At 56.4% G+C, this 27,554-nt stretch overlaps 1 protein-coding gene across 9 annotated transcripts in view, besides 4 other annotated features; it reads left to right on the top strand.

Moving 5' to 3' along the window:
- The window catches only part of HSPG2 (heparan sulfate proteoglycan 2), a 115,067-nt gene that overhangs the window by 49,017 nt on the left and 38,496 nt on the right, over window positions 1–27,554 (top strand). For 3 of the 9 annotated variants that reach the window (NM_005529.7, XM_017001122.1, XM_047419091.1), the window contains 33 exons: window positions 228–356; window positions 620–874; window positions 960–1,079; window positions 2,843–2,974; window positions 3,137–3,281; window positions 3,376–3,527; window positions 3,620–3,766; window positions 6,792–6,955; window positions 7,459–7,638; window positions 7,735–7,931; window positions 8,040–8,187; window positions 9,173–9,300; window positions 9,631–9,717; window positions 9,803–9,861; window positions 10,041–10,108; window positions 11,642–11,782; window positions 11,889–12,065; window positions 12,252–12,431; window positions 12,547–12,665; window positions 13,292–13,403; window positions 13,565–13,678; window positions 13,761–13,888; window positions 14,283–14,369; window positions 14,870–14,919; window positions 15,203–15,297; window positions 15,534–15,674; window positions 15,917–16,108; window positions 22,485–22,577; window positions 22,929–23,009; window positions 23,221–23,451; window positions 24,081–24,194; window positions 26,179–26,306; window positions 26,451–26,537. In NM_005529.7, coding sequence (NP_005520.4) covers window positions 228–356; window positions 620–874; window positions 960–1,079; window positions 2,843–2,974; window positions 3,137–3,281; window positions 3,376–3,527; window positions 3,620–3,766; window positions 6,792–6,955; window positions 7,459–7,638; window positions 7,735–7,931; window positions 8,040–8,187; window positions 9,173–9,300; window positions 9,631–9,717; window positions 9,803–9,861; window positions 10,041–10,108; window positions 11,642–11,782; window positions 11,889–12,065; window positions 12,252–12,431; window positions 12,547–12,665; window positions 13,292–13,403; window positions 13,565–13,678; window positions 13,761–13,888; window positions 14,283–14,369; window positions 14,870–14,919; window positions 15,203–15,297; window positions 15,534–15,674; window positions 15,917–16,108; window positions 22,485–22,577; window positions 22,929–23,009; window positions 23,221–23,451; window positions 24,081–24,194; window positions 26,179–26,306; window positions 26,451–26,537 — 4,381 coding nt within the window. Of the gene's footprint in view, window positions 1–227; window positions 357–619; window positions 875–959; window positions 1,080–2,842; window positions 2,975–3,136; window positions 3,282–3,375; window positions 3,528–3,616; window positions 3,767–6,791; window positions 6,956–7,458; window positions 7,639–7,734; window positions 7,932–8,039; window positions 8,188–9,172; window positions 9,301–9,630; window positions 9,718–9,802; window positions 9,862–10,040; window positions 10,109–11,641; window positions 11,783–11,888; window positions 12,066–12,251; window positions 12,432–12,546; window positions 12,666–13,291; window positions 13,404–13,564; window positions 13,679–13,760; window positions 13,889–14,282; window positions 14,370–14,869; window positions 14,920–15,202; window positions 15,298–15,533; window positions 15,675–15,916; window positions 16,109–17,421; window positions 17,461–17,907; window positions 18,082–18,630; window positions 18,829–19,325; window positions 19,410–22,484; window positions 22,578–22,928; window positions 23,010–23,220; window positions 23,452–24,080; window positions 24,195–26,178; window positions 26,307–26,450; window positions 26,538–27,554 lie in introns of all 9 variants that reach the window. The other 6 variants (NM_001291860.2, XM_017001121.1, XM_017001120.1 and 3 more) reach the window with 3 other exon arrangements.
- Window positions 22,067–22,136: an enhancer, noted in NCBI's record as "active region_341". NCBI's record gives its function as "activates an Ori minimal core promoter by ATAC-STARR-seq in GM12878 lymphoblastoid cells {active_cell/tissue: GM12878}" and the evidence as "EXISTENCE:reporter gene assay evidence [ECO:0000049][PMID:35858748]".
- Window positions 22,123–22,928: an enhancer, noted in NCBI's record as "NANOG-H3K27ac-H3K4me1 hESC enhancer chr1:22191859-22192664 (GRCh37/hg19 assembly coordinates)". NCBI's record gives its function as "activates a minimal SCP1, AML or CMV promoter by ChIP-STARR-seq in naive and primed H9 embryonic stem cells {active_cell/tissue: H9 hESC(naive and primed)}" and the evidence as "EXISTENCE:reporter gene assay evidence [ECO:0000049][PMID:30033119]".
- Window positions 22,167–22,226: an enhancer, noted in NCBI's record as "active region_340". NCBI's record gives its function as "activates an Ori minimal core promoter by ATAC-STARR-seq in GM12878 lymphoblastoid cells {active_cell/tissue: GM12878}" and the evidence as "EXISTENCE:reporter gene assay evidence [ECO:0000049][PMID:35858748]".
- Window positions 22,929–23,734: an enhancer, noted in NCBI's record as "H3K27ac-H3K4me1 hESC enhancer chr1:22191053-22191858 (GRCh37/hg19 assembly coordinates)". NCBI's record gives its function as "activates a minimal SCP1, AML or CMV promoter by ChIP-STARR-seq in naive H9 embryonic stem cells {active_cell/tissue: H9 hESC(naive)}" and the evidence as "EXISTENCE:reporter gene assay evidence [ECO:0000049][PMID:30033119]".

Raw genomic sequence — 27,554 nt, 5'->3', positions numbered from 1 at the left:
GTGTGTGGGGTCTGTTTTAGAGATGGGGGAGGCCACTGCCGCATGTCCCATGCCCCACGTGTGCTGTGGATGTGTCTAGTGTGTGCTGCTTGCCCTCGTTGTGCCTGCCAGAAACCGAGCTGCCTGACACAGGGCCCTGGAGCCCACTCCAGCCACACAGCACCTACAGCTTCCCGCACCTGCCTCCTGCCGCCTCTGACTCCAGTCTGCTTCCTTTCCACCTGCAGTGCCCCAGTTCCCAAGAGCCTGCACGGAGGCCGAGTTTGCCTGCCACAGCTACAATGAGTGTGTGGCCCTGGAGTATCGCTGTGACCGGCGGCCCGACTGCAGGGACATGTCTGATGAGCTCAATTGTGGTGAGGGGATGTCCGGGGCCACGAGTGGTTTGGGTGCCAGGGGAGGGCCAGGGTCCTACACCTGGGTCTTGGAGCCCATCAAGGACTATGAGGGTTTGGTGCAGGCAGAGGATGGGGGCATAGGAAGGGTGATGACAGAGCCAGGCAGGGGGTGGCAGGGAGTGGTGTTGGGGAGTACAGGGTGGGCCTGGGGAGGGTTGGGGACAAGGAGCAGGTGAGGAGCCATCTGCTTCTGCCAAATGCCAAGCGGAATCTATCCACAGAGGAGCCAGTCCTGGGTATCAGCCCCACATTCTCTCTCCTTGTGGAGACGACATCTTTACCGCCCCGGCCAGAGACAACCATCATGCGACAGCCACCAGTCACCCACGCTCCTCAGCCCCTGCTTCCCGGTTCCGTCAGGCCCCTGCCCTGTGGGCCCCAGGAGGCCGCATGCCGCAATGGGCACTGCATCCCCAGAGACTACCTCTGCGACGGACAGGAGGACTGCGAGGACGGCAGCGATGAGCTAGACTGTGGTGCGCACCGGCAGGGGTGCAGGTGGGTGCGGGGAGCAGGAAGCTGGCCCGGGAGGATGCTGCTGACCCCTGCCCGGTCTCCTAGGCCCCCCGCCACCCTGTGAGCCCAACGAGTTCCCCTGCGGGAATGGACATTGTGCCCTCAAGCTGTGGCGCTGCGATGGTGACTTTGACTGTGAGGACCGAACTGATGAAGCCAACTGCCGTGAGTATCCGAGGGTCCAGCTGAGGCCCCCTTGCCCTGCCCAGGCCGCTTGCTCCTGCCCCGCCTTCCACTCCTGCCCCGCCCCTACCCTGCCCCTCCGCTTTCCCCCCTCCCCAGTCCCCCAAGCCTGTTTGTTTGCTCTCCCTGGCTGAGTGCGGAAGGCCCTGGAGACACACCCCAAGGTTTATCTCTAACCAGAGCCGTAAGGCCCCTTGGCCCTGAGCTGGCCTTTGGTGAAGCTGTGTGGTTAGCCTGCCTGTGGTTCGTGTCTCGTCATTTCTTTCCTTTATTTTTGTTACCATGAAGCTTCTCTTTGTTTTGTATGTGGGTCGGATGAATGGCTAGGAGGGTTCTATGTGCCAAGGTCCCTTGGTGATGGGTCCTTGGTGTATGTATGCAAGTCAGAGCCTTACCCACCCATCTGTCCAACTCCCCAGCCACCCATGCACCCACCTATACACCCATTATCCATCCACCCAGCCCTTCATCCATCTATCCACCCATCCATCTGTCGTCCTTCTTCCCTCCCATCCATCCTTCCAGCCTCCCACTTCCCCACCCTTGTGGTATCCATCTTTTCCAGTCATGGACATTACGGGCATCCTGACAGTTAAATAGGAGGGGGAGGCTGGAGAGGCAGCGACCACATCAGGTGGTATCCTGTATGTCCTGTCCCGCAAGAAGCCTGATGCTTGTTAGTGCAAGATTAAGGATAATCTTCAGGCTCTTCTCTGTGGTCCTGGGTGGTGTGTCTGGGCGCGTGTCCATGTTCCTGCTGTGAGCTTGTCCAGCTTCTCCTTGCCTTCCTTCCCCTGCCCACTCCACAGCAAGCCCCGGGGGAGAGGCTGCACCATGCCACAGACTGGCAGAGTTTGCGAACGCCTTTCTGTGGCTCTAAGCTTGCCTGATAGCACCAGCCCCTTGGGAGAGATAAAGTAATTGGGGGCTTTAGTTGGAAGGCCCTTCTCAGGGGCCTCTCCTGGGGAAGTCAAAGGAAGGACAGGTCCTTGTGGACAGCACAGAAACAGAGAACATGAAAGCTGAATGGCCTCGTGGGCTCCTGAGAGTGTGGGGAACAGAAGCGCCTGAGCTGCGCCCACGGCTACCTCCTGGTCTCCTCTCGCACCTGCTCTGTGGATGCGCGGCTTCCGCTCCTGCATGGCTGTGACTTCTCTGTCCCTGTCTGTGTCTCTCTCAAGCTCCATCTCCCTGAGGAAGAACATTGGTCACCAGCCACTAGAGAGGCCTAGCAGGGCCCAGCCCTTGTCCCGGGCCACTTCCAGCCTCTGGCCACTCCATAGAGGGCCTGTCAGTGGGAGCACAGACCGTCGAGCCCCTCAGGGGACCACACTGTGCCAGGCATTCTGGTAGAGAAGGGTGGGCGGGGCATTGCTGGCGCCCAGAGATGCCAGCCCCACTGGTGGTGCCTTTGACATGGGTCTTGTCCATGTGAGCAAGATAGCGCTTCTGTGCCTCTGAGCGTGGCTGGGTGATGCTGTGGTTGTGACAGTGATGTGCCAGCCATAACTGGCATGGGGAATGCAGGTGGAGTGAGGGGTGGGGGCCGGGTAATGTGATGAGTGGTTCGATGACAGCTGGTGGCCGCATCATGCTGGCTGTGAGTTGGACAGTGTTGTGCAGCAGGGGCTAGGCATGGCGAGGGCCGCTGTGGGTTATGTGGGCAAGATGAGAGAGTGGCCCTGGGGATGCCCAGGGAGGATGGACGGGGTGGGCTATTGGGAACCACCTGGCTTTGTCCCCAGCCACCAAGCGTCCTGAGGAAGTGTGCGGGCCCACACAGTTCCGATGCGTCTCTACCAACATGTGCATCCCAGCCAGCTTCCACTGTGACGAGGAGAGCGACTGTCCTGACCGGAGCGACGAGTTTGGCTGCAGTGAGCAGGGAGCTGGGGTCGAGATGCGGGCCCTGGGCTGGGTTCTAGGGGTTCTGTCCACAGCCTCAGCCTCCACCCTTCTCCCTCCTAGCCCCTCGGAGCCCTCCTTCCGCTCCTCCTTCCTTTGCCCCCGACCCCTCACTCCTGCCCTGGTCTCCTCAGTGCCCCCCCAGGTGGTGACACCTCCCCGGGAGTCCATCCAGGCTTCCCGGGGCCAGACAGTGACCTTCACCTGCGTGGCCATTGGCGTCCCCACCCCCATCATCAATTGGAGGCTCAACTGGGGCCACATCCCCTCTCATCCCAGGTGCGGCTCTGGGCCCAGGTGGTGGGGTGGGAATGAGGGGCAGCTGGTCCAGAGCCCTAGGCCAGATCCTACCACTTGTCTTGGGGCTCACCAGGGTGACAGTGACCAGCGAGGGTGGCCGTGGCACACTGATCATCCGTGATGTGAAGGAGTCAGACCAGGGTGCCTACACCTGTGAGGCCATGAACGCCCGGGGCATGGTGTTTGGCATTCCTGACGGTGTCCTTGAGCTCGTCCCACAACGAGGTACTGCCGGAGGGCAGGTGTCACCGGGTGTGGGGGCAGAGCCGGGCTGCCCACCACAGCCGGCTGCAGCCCCCGCCCATGCCGCCCAGCAGGCCCCTGCCCTGACGGCCACTTCTACCTGGAGCACAGCGCCGCCTGCCTGCCCTGCTTCTGCTTTGGCATCACCAGCGTGTGCCAGAGCACCCGCCGCTTCCGGGACCAGATCAGGCTGCGCTTTGACCAACCCGATGACTTCAAGGGTGCGTTGGCGGGCGGGTGAGCGCTGCGGGAGGTGGGAGGTGGGTACCTCTGTACCCAGGGGGCACAGAGGATAGATGCGGACAGAGGGGGCCAGGTTTCGGGAAGGAATGTGAGTCGCTGAAGAAACACTGAGCCCTGTCAAAAAAGCATTTCGGGGGGAAAACCAAGATGTTTAGGAAGAGCCAAATCCCCCCTTGCTACCTACCTGCTTCAGGTTACGGCGAGGACGGGCCCTGGAGCCAGCTTCCAGCTTCAGATCCTGACGTGGACGCTGTCCACCTGTGTCCTGGGTCAAGTTACCCACTATCTCGTGTCTGTTTCGTCATCTGTAAAGTCGGGGGGTGTGGAATAATAACTACCTCCTAGGGGTTGGTAAGGACTTAGTGGAGTCACGTATGTAAGCCTCTCAGAATTGTGCTCAGCGCATTTTCAGCACCCAGGAGGTATTTGCTAACGTCACAGTCATTGTCCTCATTCTGAGAGACAGAGGTGCCAGTGTACCCAGATTATAGGAGCCCAGGCTTTGGCATCTCCTTGGCCTGAGGGTGGCCTCCAGCTATACCACTTACTGCCGCTGTGTCTTTGGGCAAGTCTCTTGGCCTCCCTGGTCCTATTTTCCCAAAGATAGAGGCAGGCAGATGGACTCAGTTCTTTCTGGCACTGAGAGGCAGAATGGCAGGATGGCTGAGGGCATGAGCCCAGGCACTGCCTGGACTGGGGCTCAGGTCCCAGCTCTGTCGTTTTCCACGTGGCATCAAGCAGCCCTCACCCTGCTGAGTCTCACTTCTTCGTTGCAGAGGATTAAATGCATGTAGAGAGTTAGCTCCAAAGCACTCAACACATTTTATGCCCTTTTGTTGGTTGAGGAACCTAAAAATGACTTGTATAAAACTTAGTTACCTGGCCAGGCATGGTGGCTTATGCCTGTAATCCAAGTACTTTGGGAGGCTGGGGAGGGAGGATTGCTTGTGGCCAGGAGTTCAAGACCAGCCTGGGTAACACAGAGAGACCCCATCTCTACAAATAATTAAAAACAAAAAATCTAGCCAGGCATGGTGGCTTGCACCTGTAGTCCCAGCTACTTGAGAGGCTGAGGCAGGAGGATCTGTTGAGCCTAGGAGGTTGAGGCTGCAGTGAGCCATGATCACACCATTGCACTCCAGCCTGGACAACAGAGTGAGACCCCATCCCTAAAAACAAAACAAAACTTAGTTACTTCCCAAAGTTGTCCCCCAGTATATTTACAATGCTAATGGCCGTGGCCACCATTTGGTGAGCAGGCAGTTGGCCCTGTGGCTTGACGTGACAGTCAACGAACTGCCAAAAACCCTTGCAAGGTCAGGGCTGATTTCACAGTTTTAAGATGAGAGCCCCAGGGCTCTGAGATGTTGTGGGGCTTCCCTGGGTTCACACAGCAGTTTAGAGGGGGAGCTGAACCCAGGGCTGTCTGATTGGAATCTGGGTGGTCCAGGGGAGGGAGTGGTGGGAATTCCAGGGTGAGCAGGTGGCCTGTGTGTGGATGGTGACCAGGAGGGAGGAGGCCTGAAGACATCCCCGGAAGGCAGGGAGGAAAGAGGATTGAGTAACCTAGACCCGGGGCTGTGCTCGGTCATTCTGCGGGTGAGGAGCTGGATTCCCCTGTGGTTGCAGGGGGTTAATTCAGGATGAGGGGGAGAAGCTATTGGCAGACAGATGTGGACTCTGTATAAGGAAGAACTTGCTAAGAGTCAAAGTTGTCCAGAGCCGGGAGGGACGGCCTTTGGAGGTTGTACGCTCTCCATCCATGACGGCTGCACCATCCAATGTGGCAGTCACTGGCCCTGTGTGGCTCTTTAAATTGAAATACAATGATTCATTCCTGAGCAGCACAAGACATGTCTCCAGTGCTCAGTGGCCACATGTTGCTGGTACCATTACTTTTAATGGCAAAACCAAACCAGCAATTACTTTTTCACCAACCTAACAGCTACCGTAATGAAGAGTGTAGGTACAGGATATTTTCACTCCACCGAAAGTTCTCTAGGATGGAGCTGTCCTAGAGATCTGGGAGGATGCTGTCAAGGGAATTCCCATGTAGGGTGACTGTGTGTGTGTGTGTGTGTGTGTGTGTGTGTGTGTGTGTGTGTACATAGAAGAGGGTTGGACTAGACGACCCATCATAACAACAGCAACAATAAGAGCTAGCCATTTTATATCAATGTGCTCATTTTAGCTTATACCTCTAGGAGGCAGGCTACTTTAAGCACCATCTTACAGATAAGGAAACTGAGGCCCTTGCCCAGGCTTACAACACACCTGGACTTGGTCTCCTGTTCCTCAGCCCTGTGTAGCTCTCCTGCCTGCAGGGTTGTTCCAGCCCTGAAAGTCTGTGGGTCTCTTAGCAAGAAAGACCCTGAGAAGTCTGGCTGCAAAGAATCCCCTTGTCCTTTCTTTACCCTGTGGTTCCCAAATGGTTCCCAGCTATCATTCCATGGCATTGACTTTCCCAGAGCATGCTTTGGGAAATGCTGCTCCAGTATTTGGGAAGGAGGAAAAAACTGCATTTTCTTTTTCTTTTCTTTCTTTTTTTTTTTTTTTTTTTTTTGAGACAGAGTCTTGCTCTGTCACCCAAGCTGGAGTACACTGGTGTGATCTCAGCTCGCTGCAGCCTCCGCCTCCCGGGTTCAAGTGATTCTGCTGTCTCAGCCTCCTGAGTAGCTGGGACTACAGGCGTGCACCACCATGCCTGTCTAGTTTTTTTATTTTTAGTAGAGACGAGGTTTCACCATGTTGGGAAGGCTGGTCATGAACTCCTGGCCTCAAGTGATCTGCCCGCCTCAGCCTCTCAAAGTGCTGGCATTATAGGCGTGAGCCACCACACCCGGCAAAAAACTGCATTTTCTTCACTTTGGAAGAGAGATCAAAGTTTTCTCGAAATCAAATTTCCACTAGAACTTTCCCACCTTTCTGGATTGCTGCCCCTCAAGATGGGTGTATCAGGCAGGCCCAGGCTGCAGCCCTCAGCCTCCCCCTTGCCACCCACAGGTGTGAATGTGACAATGCCTGCGCAGCCCGGCACGCCACCCCTCTCCTCCACGCAGCTGCAGATCGACCCATCCCTGCACGAGTTCCAGCTAGTCGACCTGTCCCGCCGCTTCCTCGTCCACGACTCCTTCTGGGCTCTGCCTGAACAGTTCCTGGGCAACAAGGTGAGGGGCCTGGGCTGCCACCCTGGGTGGGGAAAGAATTCCTGTGGGCTCTGCTCCTTCTGCAGTTGGTGGACAACAAGGCAGACTTGGAGGGAAAGGTGTTACCATGCCCCGATGCAGCCCCCTGTGGCAGCGGCTCATCCATTCAGGGCAGGACCTCTCCCCTGCACTGTTGGCTTGGGAAGAAGAGCTGGCCTCCCCTCCTCCCGGGAGCCCTCCCTGACCACTCCCCCATGCCTGGGCTGGGTTCTGTGCCTCCGCACTGGCTTCCCTGGGTACCCTGTGCACTGCATGATTCCACACCCTGCCATGGACCAAACACCCTAGAGTCAGGGCCTGAGTCTCGCCCATCTCGGTTTCCCTGTGCCTAGCTCAGTGCCTGGCACACAGTAAGTCTCAGGTAGGCAGAGTGAGGGAGGAGCTGGAAGACTATAGGCACCTCATAGGCACGAGGTGTCAAGTGTGCCCACAGCTGCCCGTGCTGATCCACCCTGTTGTGCCAGGTGGACTCCTATGGCGGCTCCCTGCGTTACAACGTGCGCTACGAGTTGGCCCGTGGCATGCTGGAGCCAGTGCAGCGGCCGGACGTGGTCCTCATGGGTGCCGGGTACCGCCTCCTCTCCCGAGGCCACACACCCACCCAACCTGGTGCTCTGAACCAGCGCCAGGTCCAGTTCTCTGAGGTGGGTGGCGCCTGAGCCCTTAGGGCTGGGAGCAAAGGGGGATTTAGGCTGGGTAGGCACTGATGTGTGACCCCTGCCACCTTCACCCATACCCAGGAGCACTGGGTCCATGAGTCTGGCCGGCCGGTGCAGCGCGCGGAGCTGCTGCAGGTGCTGCAGAGCCTGGAGGCCGTGCTCATCCAGACCGTGTACAACACCAAGATGGCCAGCGTGGGACTTAGCGACATCGCCATGGATACCACCGTCACCCATGCCACCAGCCATGGCCGTGCCCACAGTGTGGAGGAGTGCAGGTGCCTGAGCCGGCAGGGCTGGGAACCACAGAGACCCTAGCAAGGATAGAGGAGAAACGGCAGGGCCTCACCGTCCTTGCAGCGACTCTTTTGGTCCTGTCCCCACAGATGCCCCATTGGCTATTCTGGCTTGTCCTGCGAGAGCTGTGATGCCCACTTCACTCGGGTGCCTGGTGGGCCCTACCTGGGCACCTGCTCTGGTTGCAATTGCAATGGCCATGCCAGCTCCTGTGACCCTGTGTATGGCCACTGCCTGGTGAGTAGTGCCAGCAGACACTTGAACACTAAAATAGGAGAAGGGACAATGTGTGAGATTCCCTGTGTTCATGAGCTCAGCACAAGCCTCCAGAATGACTGTCATGACTGCCAGATGAACTATCATGACCTCTGGATGCAATAACAGAAATATAGGTCAGGCGCAGTGGCTCATGCCTGTAATCCCAGCACTTTGGGAAGCCTAGATGGGTGGATCACTTGAGGTCAGGAGTTTGAGACCAGCCTGGCCAACATGGTGAAACCCCATTTCTACTAAAAATACAAAAATTAGCCAGGCGTGGTGGCGTACGCCTGTAATCCCAGCTACTCAGGAGGCTGAGGCAGGAAAATCGCTTGAACCCGGGAGGTGGAGGTTACAGTAGGCCAAGACCGTGCCCCTGCACTCCAGCCTGGGCAACAGAGCAAGACTCAGTCTCAGAAAAAAAAAACAACCCAGAGATACAGCATCCAGACAAGGGAGGTGTTGGCCCTCCTCTCCACCCTCATCAGACTAATCCTGGAGAGTGCCAAATGAAGAAGCATGGCCTGCAGAGGGCAACTCTAGGGGGAAGAGCCCTTGGGGTGGGACCTTATTTCTTAGGAATAGTGGCGAGAGCTGGGATTGTGGAGCTGACAGAAGAAAAGGCTCAAGCAGGGCAGCATTGTCATCTCCAAATCCCTGCAAAGGTGTCGGGTAGAAGAAACAGACTCTGGAGAGCAGAACTGGCCAGTGGGTGCAGATTGGAAGAGGGTGGCAGGTTTAGGTCAATAAAAAGCAGGCATTTGGAACCATCTATGGGACAGGCTGCCGTGTAAGATGATGAGCTCCCCATCATCTATAAGTGGTTGCAGTTGATGCTCCCCTGTCTGCAAAGCTGTGCCTCCAGCGTGATGGGGAGGCTGAGCTAGACAGCCTCCAAGGTCCCCCGCAGCATCTGGCCCAGTTCTGCTCTAGAAGTTGAGCCATACCCTCCTCCTTCTTCTAGAATTGCCAGCACAACACGGAGGGGCCACAGTGCAACAAGTGCAAGGCTGGCTTCTTTGGGGACGCCATGAAGGCCACGGCCACTTCCTGCCGGCCCTGCCCTTGCCCATACATCGATGCCTCCCGCAGGTCAGCCCCAGCTCCGGGTCAGGGGGGGTTTGGCTGGGGACAGTGCAACAGGCCAGAGAATATTCTGGGCAGGGAGGCAGGAGACTTGGATTCAGATCTCTACCTGATCACTAAGTTATCCCATGCTCCTGGACCTCTCTAGGCCTCTGTTTCCTTTTCTGTATAATGGGCCCCCTGACTTCCTACAGTTGCTGTGAGGCTGCCGGGCAGGGAGATGGCGTCATGCCTCGTGGCACACTGTGTCTGTGTAGACAGCAGTCATTTCCCAGGGTGGGAGGAGAAAGCCTGACCCCAGCCCTGCCCCATGCCCTGTCCACTTGATACCTGCAGATTCTCAGACACTTGCTTCCTGGACACGGATGGCCAAGCCACATGTGACGCCTGTGCCCCAGGCTACACTGGCCGCCGCTGTGAGAGGTGAGGGAGAGCCTTGGGGGCTGCAGGAAGGGGGCTCCTGGGTGGGGTCATGGAAGTGCTGATGGCGGCCCCCTCTCTCCCCTAGCTGTGCCCCCGGATACGAGGGCAACCCCATCCAGCCCGGCGGGAAGTGCAGGCCCGTCAGTGAGTATGGCTGCCACCATCCCCTGACACCCACCTCCCAACCCAACCTGGGCTGCACACCAGGCACCCTCCCTCCCTGCCCCAGCTCATGAACCTTGGGGAGCCACTGTTCCTCTATCTGCCCGGACCACGTATATCCCATTCCCACCTGCCCTGCCAACACTCGTTTTGTGTCCCAGACCAGGAGATTGTGCGCTGTGACGAGCGTGGCAGCATGGGGACCTCCGGGGAGGCCTGCCGCTGTAAGGTACGCGTGCCATCTGCCACCCACCCAGGGGCCTTGGGCCCAGCACCACAGCTGGGAGGAGGAAGAAGGAAGCTCCGTCCTCTCCATAGATCCTTGGCCAGTGGGTGGTAACCCAGTCAGAGGCTGGTGGACCTGGCCCACCGGCCTTCCGTACCAGGACAGGTGGCCTGGCGTTGGGAAGGAGCACTGGTTAGGGAGTCAGGTGACCACAGTTCAAGTCCCAGTCATTCTTTATGCAGCCTTTGTATCTGCATTGTACCTTTGCTTTTGCCATACTTTGTCCATTGTCACATTGATACAATGATATAGATATTAGTGTCCCCAATTTGTGAATGAGGAAATGGAGGCTCAGAGAAGGGAGGTCACTTGCGTTAGGAATGGGAGCATCGGCCGGGCGCAGTGGCTCACGCCTGTAATCCCAGCACTTTGGGAGGCTGAGGTGGGTGGATCACTTGAGGTCAGGAGTTCAAGACCAGCCTGGCCAACATGGTGAAACCCCATCTCTACTAAAAATGCAAAAATTAGCCAGGCGTGGTGGCGGGCGCCTATAATCCCAGCTACTCAGGAGGCTGAGGCAGGAGAATCACTTGAACCTGGGAAGCAGGGTTGCAGTGAGCTGAGACCGCACCACTGTACTCCATTGTAGGCAACAAGACTGAAACTCCGTCTCAAAAAAAAAAAAAAAAAAAGAATGTGAGTATCAAGTGTCGGTGTAAAAAAGAATGGATGGATTCTGGAGTCAGGCACTCCTGGTCTTAAATCCCAGAGTGGATGGGCAAGCTGAGTAACTTTGTGCAAGTCATTTCACATCCCTGAGCCTCTGTTTCCTCATGTGAAGGATGAAGGTATCACCTACCTCTCAAGGTCCTTAGGGGAGTTAAATGAGGTGATGTCGAATGGAAAGCAGAACAGTGCGTGAAACACTCCATAAATAGAAGCAGCAATTATTTCAATCAAGTCGCTGTATTTCAAGTCTAAATTTATTGGTGAACCCCCTGGCAGCCAAAGAGAAAAGGGAAAAATGCTTGCCTAAGTGCTTGTTAAGTGGGAATTACTATTCAGATGGCAATGACGCCTCATACATGTGCTCTTTCTTTTCTTTTCTTTTCTTTTTTTTTTTTTTTTTGAGATGGAGTCTCGCTCCCATCGCGTAGGCTGGATTGCAGTGGCGCGATCTCGGCTCACTGCAACCTCCACCTCCCGGTTTCAAACAATTCTCCTTCCTCAGCCTCCTGAGTAGCTGGGATTACAGCTGTGTGCCACCACGCCAGGCTAATTTTTGTATTTTTAATAGAGACAGGGTTTTGCCATGTTGGCCAGGCTGGTCTTGAACTCCTGACCTGAGGTGATCCACCCGCCTTGGCCTCCCAAAGTGCTGGGATTACAGGCGTGAGCCACCGCGCCCAGCCACATGTGCTCTTTCAGTGGCTCCCCTGGGTCTTGGGTTCTTATCTGGACTGAGGGTGGATTCGGCCAGAGCTCCAGGCAGCCTCTCCCATGGGCTGTCCTTCAGCTCCAACTCTGTGCCTGCAGAACAATGTGGTGGGGCGCTTGTGCAATGAATGTGCTGACGGCTCTTTCCACCTGAGTACCCGAAACCCCGATGGCTGCCTCAAGTGCTTCTGCATGGGTGTCAGTCGCCACTGCACCAGCTCTTCATGGAGCCGTGCCCAGGTACCTCTGCAAGGTGGGCGGGCAGGACCGCCAAGCCCTGGGCCGGATGGACCAAGCGCCAGTCCCAGGCCACGGCCCCCATCCCAGCCCTTTCTCCTCCTCCCAGTTGCATGGGGCCTCTGAGGAGCCTGGTCACTTCAGCCTGACCAACGCCGCAAGCACCCACACCACCAACGAGGGCATCTTCTCCCCCACGCCCGGGGAACTGGGATTCTCCTCCTTCCACAGACTCTTATCTGGACCCTACTTCTGGAGCCTCCCTTCACGCTTCCTGGGGGACAAGGTGGGTAGTGGGTGGAAAGGCAAAGGAAACTCCAGGCAGCAGGAACAGCGCAGGCAAAGGCTTGGAGGCGGGAGGGTCGTGGTGCCTTGGGAGAATAGTGAGATACACTGCATGGAAAAGGTGGCTGGAGCAGTGACAGGGCCCGAATTCAGGCCTCCGCAAGCTCCTGTCTAACCCTGGTCCCAGGTGACCTCCTATGGAGGAGAGCTGCGCTTCACAGTGACCCAGAGGTCCCAGCCGGGCTCCACACCCCTGCACGGGCAGCCGTTGGTGGTGCTGCAAGGTAACAACATCATCCTAGAGCACCATGTGGCCCAGGAGCCCAGCCCCGGCCAGCCCAGCACCTTCATTGTGCCTTTCCGGGAGGTGAGCAATACTGTCCCCTGGGGGTAGGGGTGCGGGCAGGCCCTTGCTCCTGCCTCTCCGGCATTCAATACTCCAGGACGTCAGGGGCTGAGCACATGTGTCCTCTCCTTGGCAGCAAGCATGGCAGCGGCCCGATGGGCAGCCAGCCACACGGGAGCACCTGCTGATGGCACTGGCAGGCATCGACACCCTCCTGATCCGAGCATCCTACGCCCAGCAGCCCGCTGAGAGCAGGTGTCTGGAGCCGGGGCAGGAGGACCAGCATGGGCTTGGGGAGGGGCTCCATCTAAGCGGTGCAGTACAGCACAGCCACTTACAGACTGTGTGACCCTTTTGTGCCTCACTTTCCCTGTCTGTAAAACGGAGAGTCTTAACAATGTCTCCCATACAGGCTGGTCTGGGGCCAGGCTCCCTAGAAAGAAGCCTGAGACGGGGATTGGGGTGCATGTGATTCACAAGGAGAGGGACGCAGGAGGGGGGAGGGGCCATGCAGGGATATGGTTTCAGGTCAAGTCTAGCCCCAGCCTCAGCCCACAGGGAGCTCTGGAGAGTCATTCGCCGGAGAGTGATCGTTCTTTCAGGCCCGTGGGCTCTTGTAGCCTGTATCAGCCTGTCATTGGGGACCCCAGGGGAACGAGGTGGTATAACCTCTCCAGGTGAGGAAGGGTGATGGTTTGGAGTAAGTTGCAGGTAACAGCTGTTTGCCACGGTCCTCGCAGCCTCTGGAGATCTGGACAGGGCCCCAGCAGCACTGTGACAGGGCTGTCGGGAGGACTAATAAGACCCTGCCAGTGGAGGACTCCAGGCGTGCCTGGCACAGAGCCAGCACTCCTATTCACGCTGGGTCTTGTCACGCCCAGGGTCTCTGGCATCAGCATGGACGTGGCTGTGCCCGAGGAAACCGGCCAGGACCCCGCGCTGGAAGTGGAACAGTGCTCCTGCCCACCCGGGTACCGTGGGCCGTCCTGCCAGGTGAGTCCTGGGCCCCACGCCAGCCCAGCCAGCCCCCTCCATGGTGCTTCCCGCTCCTTCTCCATGAGCCCTCCACACCTCCCCAGCCCTGGCCATCCAGTGCCCCTACCTGAATGGGCCGTGTTCGGAAGTCCCTCCCACTGCCATCTTTCTGCCCCCAGGACTGTGACACAGGCTACACACGCACGCCCAGTGGCCTCTACCTGGGTACCTGTGAACGCTGCAGCTGCCATGGCCACTCAGAGGCCTGCGAGCCAGAAACAGGTGCCTGCCAGGTAAGTCCCGCCCTCCTTCCGCCCACCCCAGCAATCTGTGGCCTCTGGAGGCCCAGCCTCAACTCACATCCTGCTCCTCCAGGGCTGCCAGCATCACACGGAGGGCCCTCGGTGTGAGCAGTGCCAGCCAGGATACTACGGGGACGCCCAGCGGGGGACACCACAGGACTGCCAGCTGTGCCCCTGCTACGGAGACCCTGCTGCCGGCCAGTGCGTCCAGTCCCTGCCTGCACCTGCCCTTCCCTGAAATGTCTACCACCCGCTCCCACACCCGCTTCATCCAGGGCCCTTCTGAGAGGCAGTGGTTAAATCCTGGCCTTACTGCCTGCTCAGTGTCACTTGGTGTGAGATACACTTCACTTTCAGGGCCTCAGCTGCCTCATCTGTGAAATGGGGTAGTCCACCCTCCTCAGCCCCTTGTGTGAGAGTTGAATGAGGCTATGCATGTGGAACTCTTAGCACAGTGCCAGGCATGCAGTGGCACTGAGGACACATGAGTTCACATGCCTGTTCTTCCCCTCCCCTCTCCCCTGGTCCTGAAGGAGGATCGGGGGAGAGGAAGGAGCCACTGCGTTCCTGACTAGAAATCTGCCCCCACACTCAGGGCTGCCCACACTTGTTTTCTGGACACAGACGGCCACCCCACCTGTGATGCGTGCTCCCCAGGCCACAGTGGGCGTCACTGTGAGAGGTGAGGCAGGGGGTGGAGAGGGTGGGGGGATGCGCACAGGGGGTGTCCCTGGAATCCTCAGGCAGGGCCCAGCGCTCCCAACCCAGAGGAATCAGGGATGCCTCTCGCTCTTAACCTCGCACAGGCCCCAGAAGACAGTCAGCTCCCCTCCTCGGGAGACTCAACCTCTAGCCCAGAATTCAAGACCCTCAGACACACATCCTAGCCTGCGGTTCACCTTCAGCCCCCTGGCCCCCTGCCCCAGCCAGGCCAGAGTCTTCCCACAAAACCCCTGCTTCTTTCTGAAACTCCTGGGTTCCTACCTGCCCCAATTCACTGGCTGTGCGGTCCAGGGCACGTCCCTGCTCTTCTCTGCCCAGTTTCCCCGTAACATGGGCGAGTCAGGCTCTTCTTTTCTTCCAGTGCATGAGGCCATTGAATTCAATATGGGGCCCTCAGCCCAGCCCTGGGGTTCTGCTTCCCTTCATCCAAAATTCATCAGAGGCTTTTTCTCTCTGCAGGTGCGCCCCTGGCTACTATGGCAACCCCAGCCAGGGCCAGCCATGCCAGAGTGAGTAGGATTGGGGAGGTCATTGGGGTCGGGTTACCCAGAGTCCCTAGGGCGGAGCTAGGACAGAAGCCTTTACTCCCCTTTGGCTTTGCCTGTCCGAGCCTGTTTCTTCATCTGTAAAATGGGGATAGGAGAAGGCCCCACCACCTCCGAGGGCTGTCGTGAGAGTGTTGAGTACTCACATCAGAAATCAGAGCTCCCGCTCAGTGGTGAGCAGAGTGGAGGGAAGAGGGGTGCTGGGTGGCGGGTTTGGGGCTCCAGCCATGGCTTTCTTCCACCTCAGGAGACAGCCAGGTGCCAGGGCCCATAGGCTGCAACTGTGACCCCCAAGGCAGCGTCAGCAGCCAGTGTGATGCTGCTGGTCAGTGCCAGTGCAAGGTCAGTCCGAATCCCTGTCCCTGCGGGGCCTGCTCTGCCCCGCTGCCCAGACCCTGCGGGGAAATCAGGCAGCATCTGGTGGAAGCCGAGACCTGGGCATGGGGGGCAGGGCATGGGGGACAGGGCAGGGGCTGCCCGGGGCTGCTGGAAGTGGCCAGGGAGGCTGGCCTCAGGCTGCTGGGGGTGCAGGAGACCCACTGAGTCCCCTGCCTGCCTCCTTCCATCCGTCTACCCAGGCCCAGGTGGAAGGCCTCACTTGCAGCCACTGCCGGCCCCACCACTTCCACCTGAGTGCCAGCAACCCAGACGGCTGCCTGCCCTGCTTCTGTATGGGCATCACCCAGCAGTGCGCCAGCTCTGCCTACACACGCCACCTGGTGAGAGCCTGTGCTGCCCAGCCCCAGGCGGTGTTGCCACCTGCTGCCTGTTACTGTCCATCTGAGCACTGAGCCCAGCGACCCTCATCCCCGCCTCAGTACCCTCACATGCCCCCATTATTTCTCTCGCAGTCCTGATCTCAACAGGACCCCATTCCGCACCTTAACACCCTCCCGTGCCCCATCCCCCACCAAGGCACCCCGGTGCTCAGGCTGACGCCCCCTCCTTTTTCCCCTGCCAGATCTCCACCCACTTTGCCCCTGGGGACTTCCAAGGCTTTGCCCTGGTGAACCCACAGCGAAACAGCCGCCTGACAGGAGAATTCACTGTGGAACCCGTGCCCGAGGGTGCCCAGCTCTCTTTTGGCAACTTTGCCCAACTCGGCCATGAGTCCTTCTACTGGCAGCTGCCGGAGACATACCAGGGAGACAAGGTGGGCCCCAGCCAAGCACCAGGGTCAGCCGTGACTCAGACATGAGTTCACCTCTGCGCCGTCTCTCAGCAGGCAGGCACCTGCCACCTGCATGGCCATATCGTGGTTAGGCACGTGGCTTTTGCAGTCCCATAGACATTGGTCTGAACCCCAGCTCTGCCGCTTGCCAGCCAGACACCATTTGATAAACCTCAACTTCATGGTGGCTGAGGGGATTGGAGATCGTGCCTGGCACATAATAAGTGCTCAGCTGTTCATGACTTTTAGCTTTCATGCAGTTATTCTACAAACAGATCTGGGAGAGGCCGGGAAATATAAAGACAAGTGAGACACAGTTTCAGTGTCATTCACGTGCCCGCTCCGACTTCACTCATCCACACTGCTGGCTCTGTGCTTGTGTTGGACACAGTAATTCTCATGATAGGTCATGTGTGTTGAGCTCTCACTATGTGCTAGGCAGCATCCTTTACAAATCACAAATCACAACTGTGTGAGACAGGTCCTGCTACTGCCCCATTTCATAAATAAGGCAAGAGGGGCTTGGTAACTTACCCAAAGCCCCGCAGCTGGGAGGTGGGAATGCCGGGATCCAAACCCAGGTCAGAGGCTGCCCTTCAAATGCTCTGCCAAAGGCCAGAGCCCACACCTGTAATTCCAGCACTTTGGAAGGCTGAGGCGGGAGGACCACTTGAGCTCAGGAGTTTGAGACCAGCCTGGGCAATGTGACGAAACCCCGTCTCTACAAAAAGTACAAAAAATTAGCTGGGCGTGTTGGTGCATGCCTGTAGTCCCAGCTATTTAGGGAGGCTGAGGTGGGAGGATCGCTGGTACCCAGGATGGGGAGGTTGCAGTGAGCCATAATTGCACCATTGCACTCCAGCCTGGGTGACAGAGTAAGACCCTGTCTCAAAAAAAAAAAAAAAAAAACAAATACTCTGCCAGTCAGAGGTGAACCTGTCTTTGCTACTCCAGAACAGGGTCTGGTGGAAAGGTGGTGATGATGGTGGTGGCGATGGTGTGATGGTGTTGTGGGGGGCAGGGGCTCAGGGGTGGGCTCTGGGACAACCTGCCCAAATGTGTTCTTGAGCAGCACGGGCATCCGGTGGCACCCACGCTCTGGGGTTGGGGTTGCCCTATCCCTGTTCGTTGGACACAGCCAGGTACTCCAGGCTTCTCCCGGGGCTGGCTGCCTTCTGGTCCCTTCTCCCCTCTCCCTTCTGGGGTTCGCTATCTCCTGGCCTCCCTGCTGCCCTGTCCTGCAATTCTCAGACCTATCTCTGTCTCCTGTCCTGGCATTTCCCTGCGCCCCACAGGGGGAGGCGTACTTTGCGCGGATGCGCCGGGCTCACCAGGTAGGCCCAGGACGTGCGTGGTGTGAAGTTGGTGTGGTGGGGCGTGGTGCCTTCTCGGGTGCTCCCAGCCCTGCGTGGGGAGATGCGCAGTGCCCAAGGCATTGGGGGTCTGCATGAATCCAGGCGGTGTCCCATGACCCCAGGGTTGGAGCCAGGAGGGTATGTGCCTCACCTTGCCTCACCTGCTGTGTGGTCTGGTCCTGGTGCCAACTGTCTGAAGTCAGAATGGCAACTGAGGTAGCAAGGAGACTAACCCGATGCTAATCCACATGACTGTATCTAGCCCCCCGGGTTCCCCTGGCCTTGCCTCTCAAGCAACCACCATGAACCCTCTGTGTGCATGTGGGCGGCCTGGAGTTAACCCTTGGGTGCCAGCCTGGAGAGGGGGGGCATGCATCTTTCTTCCTAATTAGTGTGGGCCTTTCTGACTACCATGTCCGTGGGTAGAGGACCCTGCCCATGGCTCTAGCTCCAGGACTTTGGGAGGTCTTAGCTCGCCTGCTCCCTCCATTTCATCAGAACCGCACATCCCTCTCAGAGGAGCAGTTGCGGGCAGCCGTGACAGCTGGGAGGATCCCAGAGCCCCCAGAGGGCAGGGACTGGGCACAGCGGGCATCACAGGTAACTGAGGACCTGGCTAGGACAGGTTGTACCTAGGGCCACAGCGAGGAGACCAGAGAGCTGAGTCCAGGCAGGCACCTGAGCGAAGACTCCAGCTTTCCTGGGCCATTTCCCCTATGCCAGGCCAGGCCCCAGCCTGATGCCTGGTCTGCTCTGGTGTCTCCCCTGGGAAACATTCCAGAACCATGAATGGCTTGGGCTGTTGCCAGGGCACACAAAGAGAGTCAGGCCGAGGAGCAACAACCCCGTCCAGATGCCCCTGGGGCTGCCTCCAGCACTTCTGCCCCTCCCTTGCTGGGCACCCTTTGTAGGGCTTCTCCCATCAGTCACGGCCCATAGGCAGCCAAACCCATCCCGGGATATCCCCGCCTAGCTCAGGAGGAACAAGAGGGCAGTGGGTACAAGGGCCAGAGTGCCAGGTATCAGCACTTGTGAGCAGACAGTGCAGAGCGGGTGGCTGGCTGGGCCCGTGGGGAGGTGAAGCCTCACGGACGTCCTTTCTGTCCCTCTCTGCTCCCTTCTGCCGCTCTTCGGCTCCTGGTCCCCCAGGTGGACGAGGCTCAGAGACGGATGGATGCTGAGATCTGGCAGCTCCTGTCCAGCTTTGCTGCCCAACCCCAACCCCCTCCCCAGGGGCTCTCTCCTCATCCCCAGCCTGCAGCTGCTCTGCGAGCAGCACCTCCTCCTTCTTCTTCCTCCTCCTCCTCCTCTTCCTCAGCTTCTCTGTCTTTCTCACCAGGCTCTCAGGTATGTGCCAAGGTGCCCATCAAGGGATCCCCACCCACCATGCTTTCTAGACTTCAGTCATTTCTGAACCAACTTCACCAATTTCTGTGAACTACTTGGACTATTATTTCTTTCCAATTTTCTCTTAAATCAATCATGTACCAACTCAGGCTGGTTACTCTCTTTCAAATACATATGAAAGGAGCCATCCCATTGAAATTGTTTACTGATGTGCTGTGTAAACGTTGGTCCACAAAAGAGACCCACCAGATGGGAGGAGAAGCCGACCCAGGCCACGCCCAGAGAGAGCAGCTGGGGACCTGGGCCGGGATTGGGAAGAAAGTCGTCCAAAGAGCAAGGCCAGGACCCGCACTGTCGGGTGGGAGTGGGGGGCTCTGTCTCTCTGCCCTGCCACCAGGCCTCCCTCCCATGACGGTCCACCCCTGCCGGAACCACCTCCGCCCTCCCACCCCCACCCCTGCTCCCCTCGGCTCTTACCACCTGCCCTTCCCTCCTAGTTCTCTCTCTCCTACGAAGGCTTCTCTCTGCTTCCTGGAAGCCTCTATTACTGGCAGCTGCCCCGGGCCTTCCTGGGGGACAAGGTAACAAGGATTTGGGGGGATTATAGGGGTGTCATAGAATCCCAAAATATCAGAGGGCCCTTTGTCAAGGCCCTTTATGACACAAATGGGGAGACCGAGGCTCACGGTGGGTAGAGACTTGCCTGGGGTCTCATGTTCAGGTCAGAGCACAGCTGAGACTGAACTCAGCTCTGCCCCTGTCCTTCAGCGGGCCCTGACCCCTGACCCCTGGCCCCTGACCCCTGTCAGAGGAGCTGTCTCGCCTGGGAGGGTTTCTCTAGTGCCTTTTCTCTGGGCTTCCTTGACCTTGTGTCTAGATGCTGGCCTAGTTTTTGGTACTTCACTCAGTCATTCAAGAAGCATTAATTATTTACTGTGTGCTGCGTCGTGTACAGGCCGAGTGGGCCCTGGCCTCCCAGAGCTCCCTGTCCATCCCATTATCATTCCTGTCACCATCAGTATCATTATTATTATCATCATGAGTGCTGGCATTGGCCTTAGATGAGTATTCATATTGCCTCTATTTTGTTCCAACAATTTCAAGTACCTCTTAAGAATACACATAGCAGGCTGGGCGTGGTGGCTCACACCTGTAATCCCAACACTTTGGGAGACTGGGGCAGGCGAACACCTGAGGTCAGGAGTTCGAGACCAGCCTGGCCAACATGGTGAAACCCTGTCTCTACTAAAATAACAAAAATTAGCTGGGCGTGGTGGCGGGTGCCTGTAATCTCAGCTACTTAGGAGACTGAGGCTGTAGAATTGCTTGAACCTGGGAGGCGGAGGTTGCAGTGAGCCTAGATCATGCCACTTCACTCCAGCCTGGGCAACAGAGCAAGACTCCATCTCAAAGAAAAAAAAAAAATTCAGCTTCCTGGCTGGGTGCGGTGGCTCATGCCTATAATCGCAGCACTTTGGGAGACTGGGGCAGGCAGAACACCTGAGGACAGGAGTTTGAGACCAGCCTGGCCAACATGGGGAAACCCTGTCTCTACTAAAAATACAAAAACTAGCCGGGTGTGTTGGCAGGCACCTGTAATCCTACTGCTTGGGAGGCTGAAGGGGGAGAATCACTTGAACCCGGGAGGCAGAGATTACAGTGAGCTGAGATTGCAGCACTGTACTCCAGCTGGGCAACAAGAGTGAAACTCCATCTCAAAAAACAAACAAAAAAAAGAATAGGCAGTCACAAGGTACATTCAGAGAAGTGAGACAGGGAGGTTGAGGGGTGAGGATAAGAAGCAATCTGCTGGAGCCGAGGGTGGAGCTGGAGTACTGCAGGGTTATCAAGCGTGATATGCATTCTCAAACTGTGTGGAGTACATCACCATTTGTGTCCTATATTACTTAATCCTCATGATACCCTTCAAAGTGGGTATTACTTTTACTTCCATTTCCATGTGAGGAAAGTAGGGCTCAGAGAGGTGAAGCGACTTGTCCAAGGCTGTATAGCCAGTAGAGCTAGAGTTTGAACCCAGGTCATTCAGACTGTGGAGTCTGCCGTTTTAATCACTATGCTGGATCTGGGTACAATGGCTCACACCTATAATCCCAGCACTTTGGGAGACTGAGGCTGAAAAATCGCTTCAGGCCAGGAGTTGAGACCAGCTTAAGCAACATAGCGAAATGCTGTCTCTAAAAAAATAAATCGGCCGGGCATGGTGGCTCATTCCTGTAATCCCAGCATTTTGGGAGGCTGAGGCAGGACAATCGCTTGAGTCCAGGAGTTTGAGACCAGCCTGAGCAACATAGGGAGACCCCATCTCTATTTAAAAAAAAAAAAAAGTGCCTGAGCAACATAGGGCGACCCCATCTCTATTTAAAAAAAAAAGGTGAAAAAAAAAATAAAAAATTTTTAAAAATCACTGTGCTGTACACACCTGCAACTTGCCAGAAAGTCAGTCCCAGAAATGGCTGTGAACTTTCTGGCATTCAAAGCAAGCAGGAAACCAGTTATTTTATGGTTATTTGGTTCCACTCCAAAATTCCTTACCATGCCTTGAGCTCATGGAGAATATCCCTGTAGCCATGTAGCCCAGGGCCGTGTGTGTAATCAGCAGGTGTTTGATAAATGCTGGTTAGCTGAGTGAACACACAAATGAACAAAGAGGTAGGCTTGATGCAGTTTGGTATTGAGATGAATGTCTGCCCTGGTGGCAGAGGAGAGAAAGCAAAGTCCTGTGGGACAGAGCTGGGGAGCCTCAGCTGTCCACGTGAAGGTCCTCTGCAGCAGAAGTAAGGACTCCCCAGTCATGAGCAACACAGTGCCCAAGTCCAGTGGGCTTGTCTGCAACAAAGAATCTATCGGCTCATGCAACTGCAGAGTCTAAGCATGTATGGTGTCAGGCATGGCCTTATCCAGGGGCTCATTAGGGCTTTATCTTGGTTCTCCAGCTTCTCATCTGACTGCAGAAGGGACTTTCTCTGGCCTGGTAGAAAGAGCATAAGTGCACGGGTTACTTGTCTATCCCTGATGGGGTGGCAAAGGGCAGTGGTAGGTTATGCAGATTGGCCAGGCCTGGCTCATGTCTCCACTATAGAGGAGGAGGGGATCAGGGCCCTCAGACCACATGGTCTGCATGTGCGGAGACAGTTGTTCTTTATAGAAAACCACGGTTTAGTTTCTAGAAAGCAGGAACTGGATACTGGGCAAACAAAAACCACCTGCCTAGGAGGCAAGGCCTCCGAGGGGCTGCCGTCAGCCCCACCCCCATGGCTGAGAACTTTTGAAGCTTCCGCAGCCTCCCCATGGTGGTCATTGTCATTACACTTGTCTGCCTTATGGGAAATTCCTGTAAATGAAAGCAGACCTGGAGTTTGTTCGCCGGCACCGTCAGGCAATGGGGAATAGAGAACCTTGCAGAGCAAAGAGGCTGCTCAGCATCATCACCACCATGTCTGGGGCTACAGAGGAACTGAGAAATGTCCTGTTTCCCAGGCAACCATGCACCCTGGCCTCTTGGTTTGGGCAGGGAGGGGGGTGGGGGAGTGTGGCACAGGTGCAAAAAGGCCGCCAGATGCTCCATCCCTCACCTATATGGTCCAACACTCACACCCCAAGGTCAGCCTGTGACCTCTGGGCTTGCCTCTTTGCAGGTGGCGGCCTACGGTGGGAAGTTGCGATACACCCTCTCCTACACAGCAGGCCCACAGGGCAGCCCACTCTCTGACCCCGATGTGCAGATCACGGTGAGCATTTGGACACCATGCTGGGTGGGCAGAAGGGCAGGATGGAAGCCAGGGGCACCCTCGGCATTTGTCCTTTGTCCTTTCCATCCAGCACTCAGTTTTCTGGCACAGGCTGGGGGAGTTAGGCCCATGCCCCCACATCCCTGCCTGGTTGGACACTACCCAAGCAGAGGATCCTGCTGCTGGGAGAAGGGGGCAGTGGGCATGTGCCTGACTCCTTTGGGCGCATGAGCTTGGGAGAGCAGAGAGGTGGGAGGCTGGGGGTTACAGAGAATCTAGGACTGGTGGAGGACACCCTGGCACCCCAGGGACCCCTCGGCTCCCCTTCCAATCCTGCTGGTGTCTTTCCAGGGCAACAACATCATGCTAGTGGCCTCCCAGCCAGCGCTGCAGGGCCCTGAGAGGAGGAGCTACGAGATCATGTTCCGAGAGGTAAGGGGCACCTGGCCATGCTGTGTCTAACCCCACCCCACCCTCCACCCTGACTCAGAGCCTGGCTTTGATACCCACCCTGTCTCTCGCTCCCCAACCTTCACCTGGCAGCCCTCAGTCAGTGCCTGTAAGGCAGGATTTGGGGGGTGGTAACTGTAGGAGCAGCCCACAAAGCCCACTGCCCCCGCCCACGTTGCCACCCCCAACCCAGGAATTCTGGCGCCGGCCCGATGGGCAGCCGGCCACACGCGAGCACCTCCTGATGGCACTGGCCGACCTGGATGAGCTCCTGATCCGGGCCACGTTCTCCTCCGTGCCGCTGGCGGCCAGCATCAGCGCAGTCAGCCTGGAGGTCGCCCAGCCGGGGCCCTCAAACAGACCCCGCGCCCTCGAGGTGGAGGAGTGCCGCTGCCCGCCAGGCTACATCGGTCTGTCCTGCCAGGTGAGTGTGTGGCCAGCTCCACCACCTCTGCACAGGCACAGAGGCATCAGCAAGCAAATCAGCCGGCGTCGCCGCAGCCTTGATTACCATCATAACTATAATGACCCCTGCATCTGGGCCCTGCATGTATTCCTCCCGACAGCCCTGAGTTACATATCATTATCCCCTTTAACAGGTAAAAAAATAGAGGTGCTGAGGGGTGAGTGTGTCCCAAGGGCACACGGCTAATGTGTGGCAGAAACTAATTTGAACCTGGGTCTGATTGACTCCAAAGCCTAGCATGTCCTAACCACTGGGCAGTGCAGCCTCACGTTTGGGCCACACTCTCCGGGGGTTAAAACCCAGTTCATGCCCTTGAGGGGGCCCACCAGAGACAGGGAGCCAATTCAGAAACACAGATTACTCCGGCCCAAAGCACAGCATAGAGATGCCTCCCAGAGGTGAACAGTGTGGACTGGGAGAGGGCCGTGGGTGGGAGGACAGACTGAGCAGAAGTGGGGAAGGAGGGGCGCCGGCCTGTGATGTTCCAGGGTCACCCCTGGGAGGACACTGGAGGGAGGGGTTCTGGGTCTGCTGGCTGTGGGTGGGGCACGTTGGGAACAGAGGCCAACCTTCCTCTCTGCCCCTAGGACTGTGCCCCCGGCTACACGCGCACCGGGAGTGGGCTCTACCTCGGCCACTGCGAGCTATGTGAATGCAATGGCCACTCAGACCTGTGCCACCCAGAGACTGGGGCCTGCTCGGTGAGCTGCAAGCGAGGCCAGGACAGGGGGTCAGCTCAGCTGGGCCTGGGTGGGGGACCAGGGCTGGACAAGGCAGGCATCAATCCAGGGGATCAGGATCATGGGGCATGGCCTGTGGTTCAAAGCACCTGGGTCAGCAGGCCAGGTCACCGGGGATGGTGGGGTGGCCAGAGCTATGGAATAACATCCTTCTGTGTAAAGAAAACTTTGGTTCTTTACTATTTTTTTCTTTTTCTTAAAAAAATTTTTTTTATCTAATACAGATGGGGTCTCACTTTGTTGCTCAGAAGGTCTTAAACTCCTGAGCTCAAGCAACCCACCCGCCTCGGCCTCCCAGAGTGCTGGGATTACAGGCGTGAGCCACCACACCTGGCCTTTTTACTTTTTTTTTTTTTTTGAGACAGGGTCTCAGTCTCGTTCTGCCTCCTGGGTTCAAGTGAATCTCATGCCTCAGCCTCCCGAGTAGCTGGGACTACAGACATGAGCCACTGTGCCTGGCCTCATTACATATATTTTTTATACCTTGACTTTTCAGAGTAGCATGTATATAGCCCCCCAGGGTACGCAGTGAAGGGGCAGGTGGTTGACAGCCATAACCTAAACTTGGAGCAAGGAACACCCTATTGTTGATACCACAAACGTGAATCTCTTTGGAGGAGAATCTGTAACCCACATGTTTTTATGAGGATGCACGTATTTTCTTTTTCTTTTCTTTTTCTTTTTTTTTTCAAGACAGTCTCGCTCCGTCACCCAGGCTGGAGTGCAGTGGCGCCATCTGGGCTCACTGCAAGCTCCACCTCCTGGGTTCACGCCATTCTCCTGCCTCAGCCTCCCGAGTAGCTGGGACTACAGGCGCCCGCTACCACACCCGGCTAATTTTTTGTGTTTTTAGTAGAGGCGGGGTTTCACCTGTGTCAGCCAGGATGGTCTCGATCTCCTGACCTTGTGATCCACCCGCCTTGGCCTCCCAAAGTGCTGGGATTACAGGTGTGAGCCACCACACCCAGCCTCTTTTTTTTTTTTTTTTTTTTTTTTTTTTGAGATGGAGTCTCGCTTTTGTCACCCAGGCTGGAGTGCAATGGCACAATCTCGGCTCACTGCAAGCTCCGCCTCCTGGGTTCACGCCATTCTCCTGCCTCAGCCTCTGGAGTAGCTGGGATTACAGGCACCTGCCACCATGCCTGGCGAATTTTTGTATTTTTAGTAGAGATGGGATTTCACCATGTTGGCAGGCTGGTCTCTAACTCCTGATCTCAGGTGATCCACCCACGTCCTGAGATTACAGGCGTGAGCCACTGTGCCCGGCTGACAATACACATTTTTAATGCTCTGCCCCCAAATACCTGAGTGTATACCTTTCCTTTGCTATCACAGGTACTTAGGGAGAAAATAGAATTAGCATCACCCTTTTTGACAGCTATTTGGATGGATGTACTTTTTAATTTATCCAATTCCCTATTCATGGATGTTTAGGTTTGTTTCTAGCTTTTTTTGCTTTTTTCTTTTTTTTTTTTTTGAGATGGAGTCTCGCTCTGTTGCCCAGGCTGGAGTGCAGTGGTGCAATCTCGGCTCACTCCAACCTCCACCTCCTGGATTCAAGCAACTCTCCTGCCTCAGCCTCCTGAGTAGCTGGGACTACAGACGCACACCACCATACCCAGCTAATTTTTGTATTTGTTAGTAGAGATGGGGTTTCACCGTGTCAGCCAGTTGGCCTTGAACTCCTGACCTCAGGTGATCCACCCGCCTCGGCCTCCCAGAGTGCTGGGATTACAGGCATGAGTCACTGTGCCCAGCCCATTTTGCTTTTTATAAACACCACGGAGATGAGTGTCCTTGTAATGAAATCTTTGTGCCCTTCCATGATTCTTTCTTTAAGATGAGTTCACAAACTTGGAATTTCTAGATCAAGGGATTGCAACCCTGAAAGGCTTCTGGTAAATTTGGCCTAATGGCTGGTGCCTGCCCTCCTTGTGCCCTGCAGCAATGCCAGCACAACGCCGCAGGGGAGTTCTGCGAGCTTTGTGCCCCTGGCTACTACGGAGATGCCACAGCCGGGACGCCTGAGGACTGCCAGCCCTGTGCCTGCCCACTGACCAACCCAGAGAACATGTGGGTACCCTAGCTCAAGGCCCAAGGACACACTTCCACTGGGGAATGAGTGGAAGGCGTTGCACTGGCTTTTGGGGCAGAAGTGAAGGGAGCAAGATGGAGATTGGGCTTCCCATGACCTGACCTTTGCCTCCCCGATCCCAGGTTTTCCCGCACCTGTGAGAGCCTGGGAGCCGGCGGGTACCGCTGCACGGCCTGCGAACCCGGCTACACTGGCCAGTACTGTGAGCAGTAAGTTTGTAAACAGAAGTAGGGGGAGGGTGGAGGACAAATGGTGGACTCCCAAGTGAGAGCCTTAAAGGGTGTTGCTCAGAAAAGTCTCTTCTAGGATTATGCTCCTTCCCTGCCTCAAACACTTCTAAGACACCTCATTGCTCTTGGGACAAGCCCACCCTCCTTAGGCAGCTTTACTGTAGCAGTCTCATCCCACTTCTGACACCCAACTCTGTACTTTAGCTGGGCTTAACTTTTTAAATGCTTTTTCTTTCTTTTTTTTTTTTTAAACTGAGACAGGGTCTCACTGTGTTGCCCAGGCTGGTCTTAAACTCCTGGGCTCAAGCAGTCCTCCTGCCTCAGTGCTGGCATTACAGGCGTGAGCCACCATGCCCAGCCACTTTTTGAATTCTTGATGTTCAGGCCTTGCTTATGCTGTTCCCTCTGCATGGAACAGTCTTCACCCCTAAACCACCCGTTCCTGGCTAACTTCCCCTTAGCCTTCAGACCCAGCTTCATTCACTCATTCAGCAAATTTTTATCAAGCAGCTCCTGTGTACCATGCTGTGTGCTGAGGTGTTGGAGATAATGGAGTGAACAGAACAGATTCCACCCCAGCCCTTACGGAGTCTGCCACCTAATAAGAGATCAGCCCTAATGGGAGATAAGACAGGGAAAAAGTAATTGTGCAAATGTGTATTTACAAACCATGTTAAGTTATCTGAAAGAAAAGTACAGCCTGCTCTGAGGTAATACGAGAAGTCCCATCCTCTTGGAAGCCTCCCTGGCTCTCCAGGCTGGGCCAGTGCCCTCCTCTGCACCCGCACAGCCCTGATATGCTTCCTGCACTCTCATTTTCATGTAGAATTTCCATGTTGGGTTCCCAACTAGTAAGTCCCACAGACCAGGGACTTTATCACATTCATTGTTGTATTTCCAACACCTATAGCACATGCCTGGCATTCAGTCATTGCTTAATGGACATTTGCTGGCCAGGCGTGGTGGCTCATGCCTATAATCCCAGCACTTTGGGAG

The sequence above is a fragment of the Homo sapiens genome, chromosome 1, assembly GCF_000001405.40.
Source record: "Homo sapiens chromosome 1, GRCh38.p14 Primary Assembly".
In the NCBI taxonomy this organism is placed as follows: Eukaryota; Metazoa; Chordata; class Mammalia; order Primates; family Hominidae; genus Homo; species Homo sapiens.
This window is presented reverse-complemented; position numbering and strand designations above follow the sequence as displayed.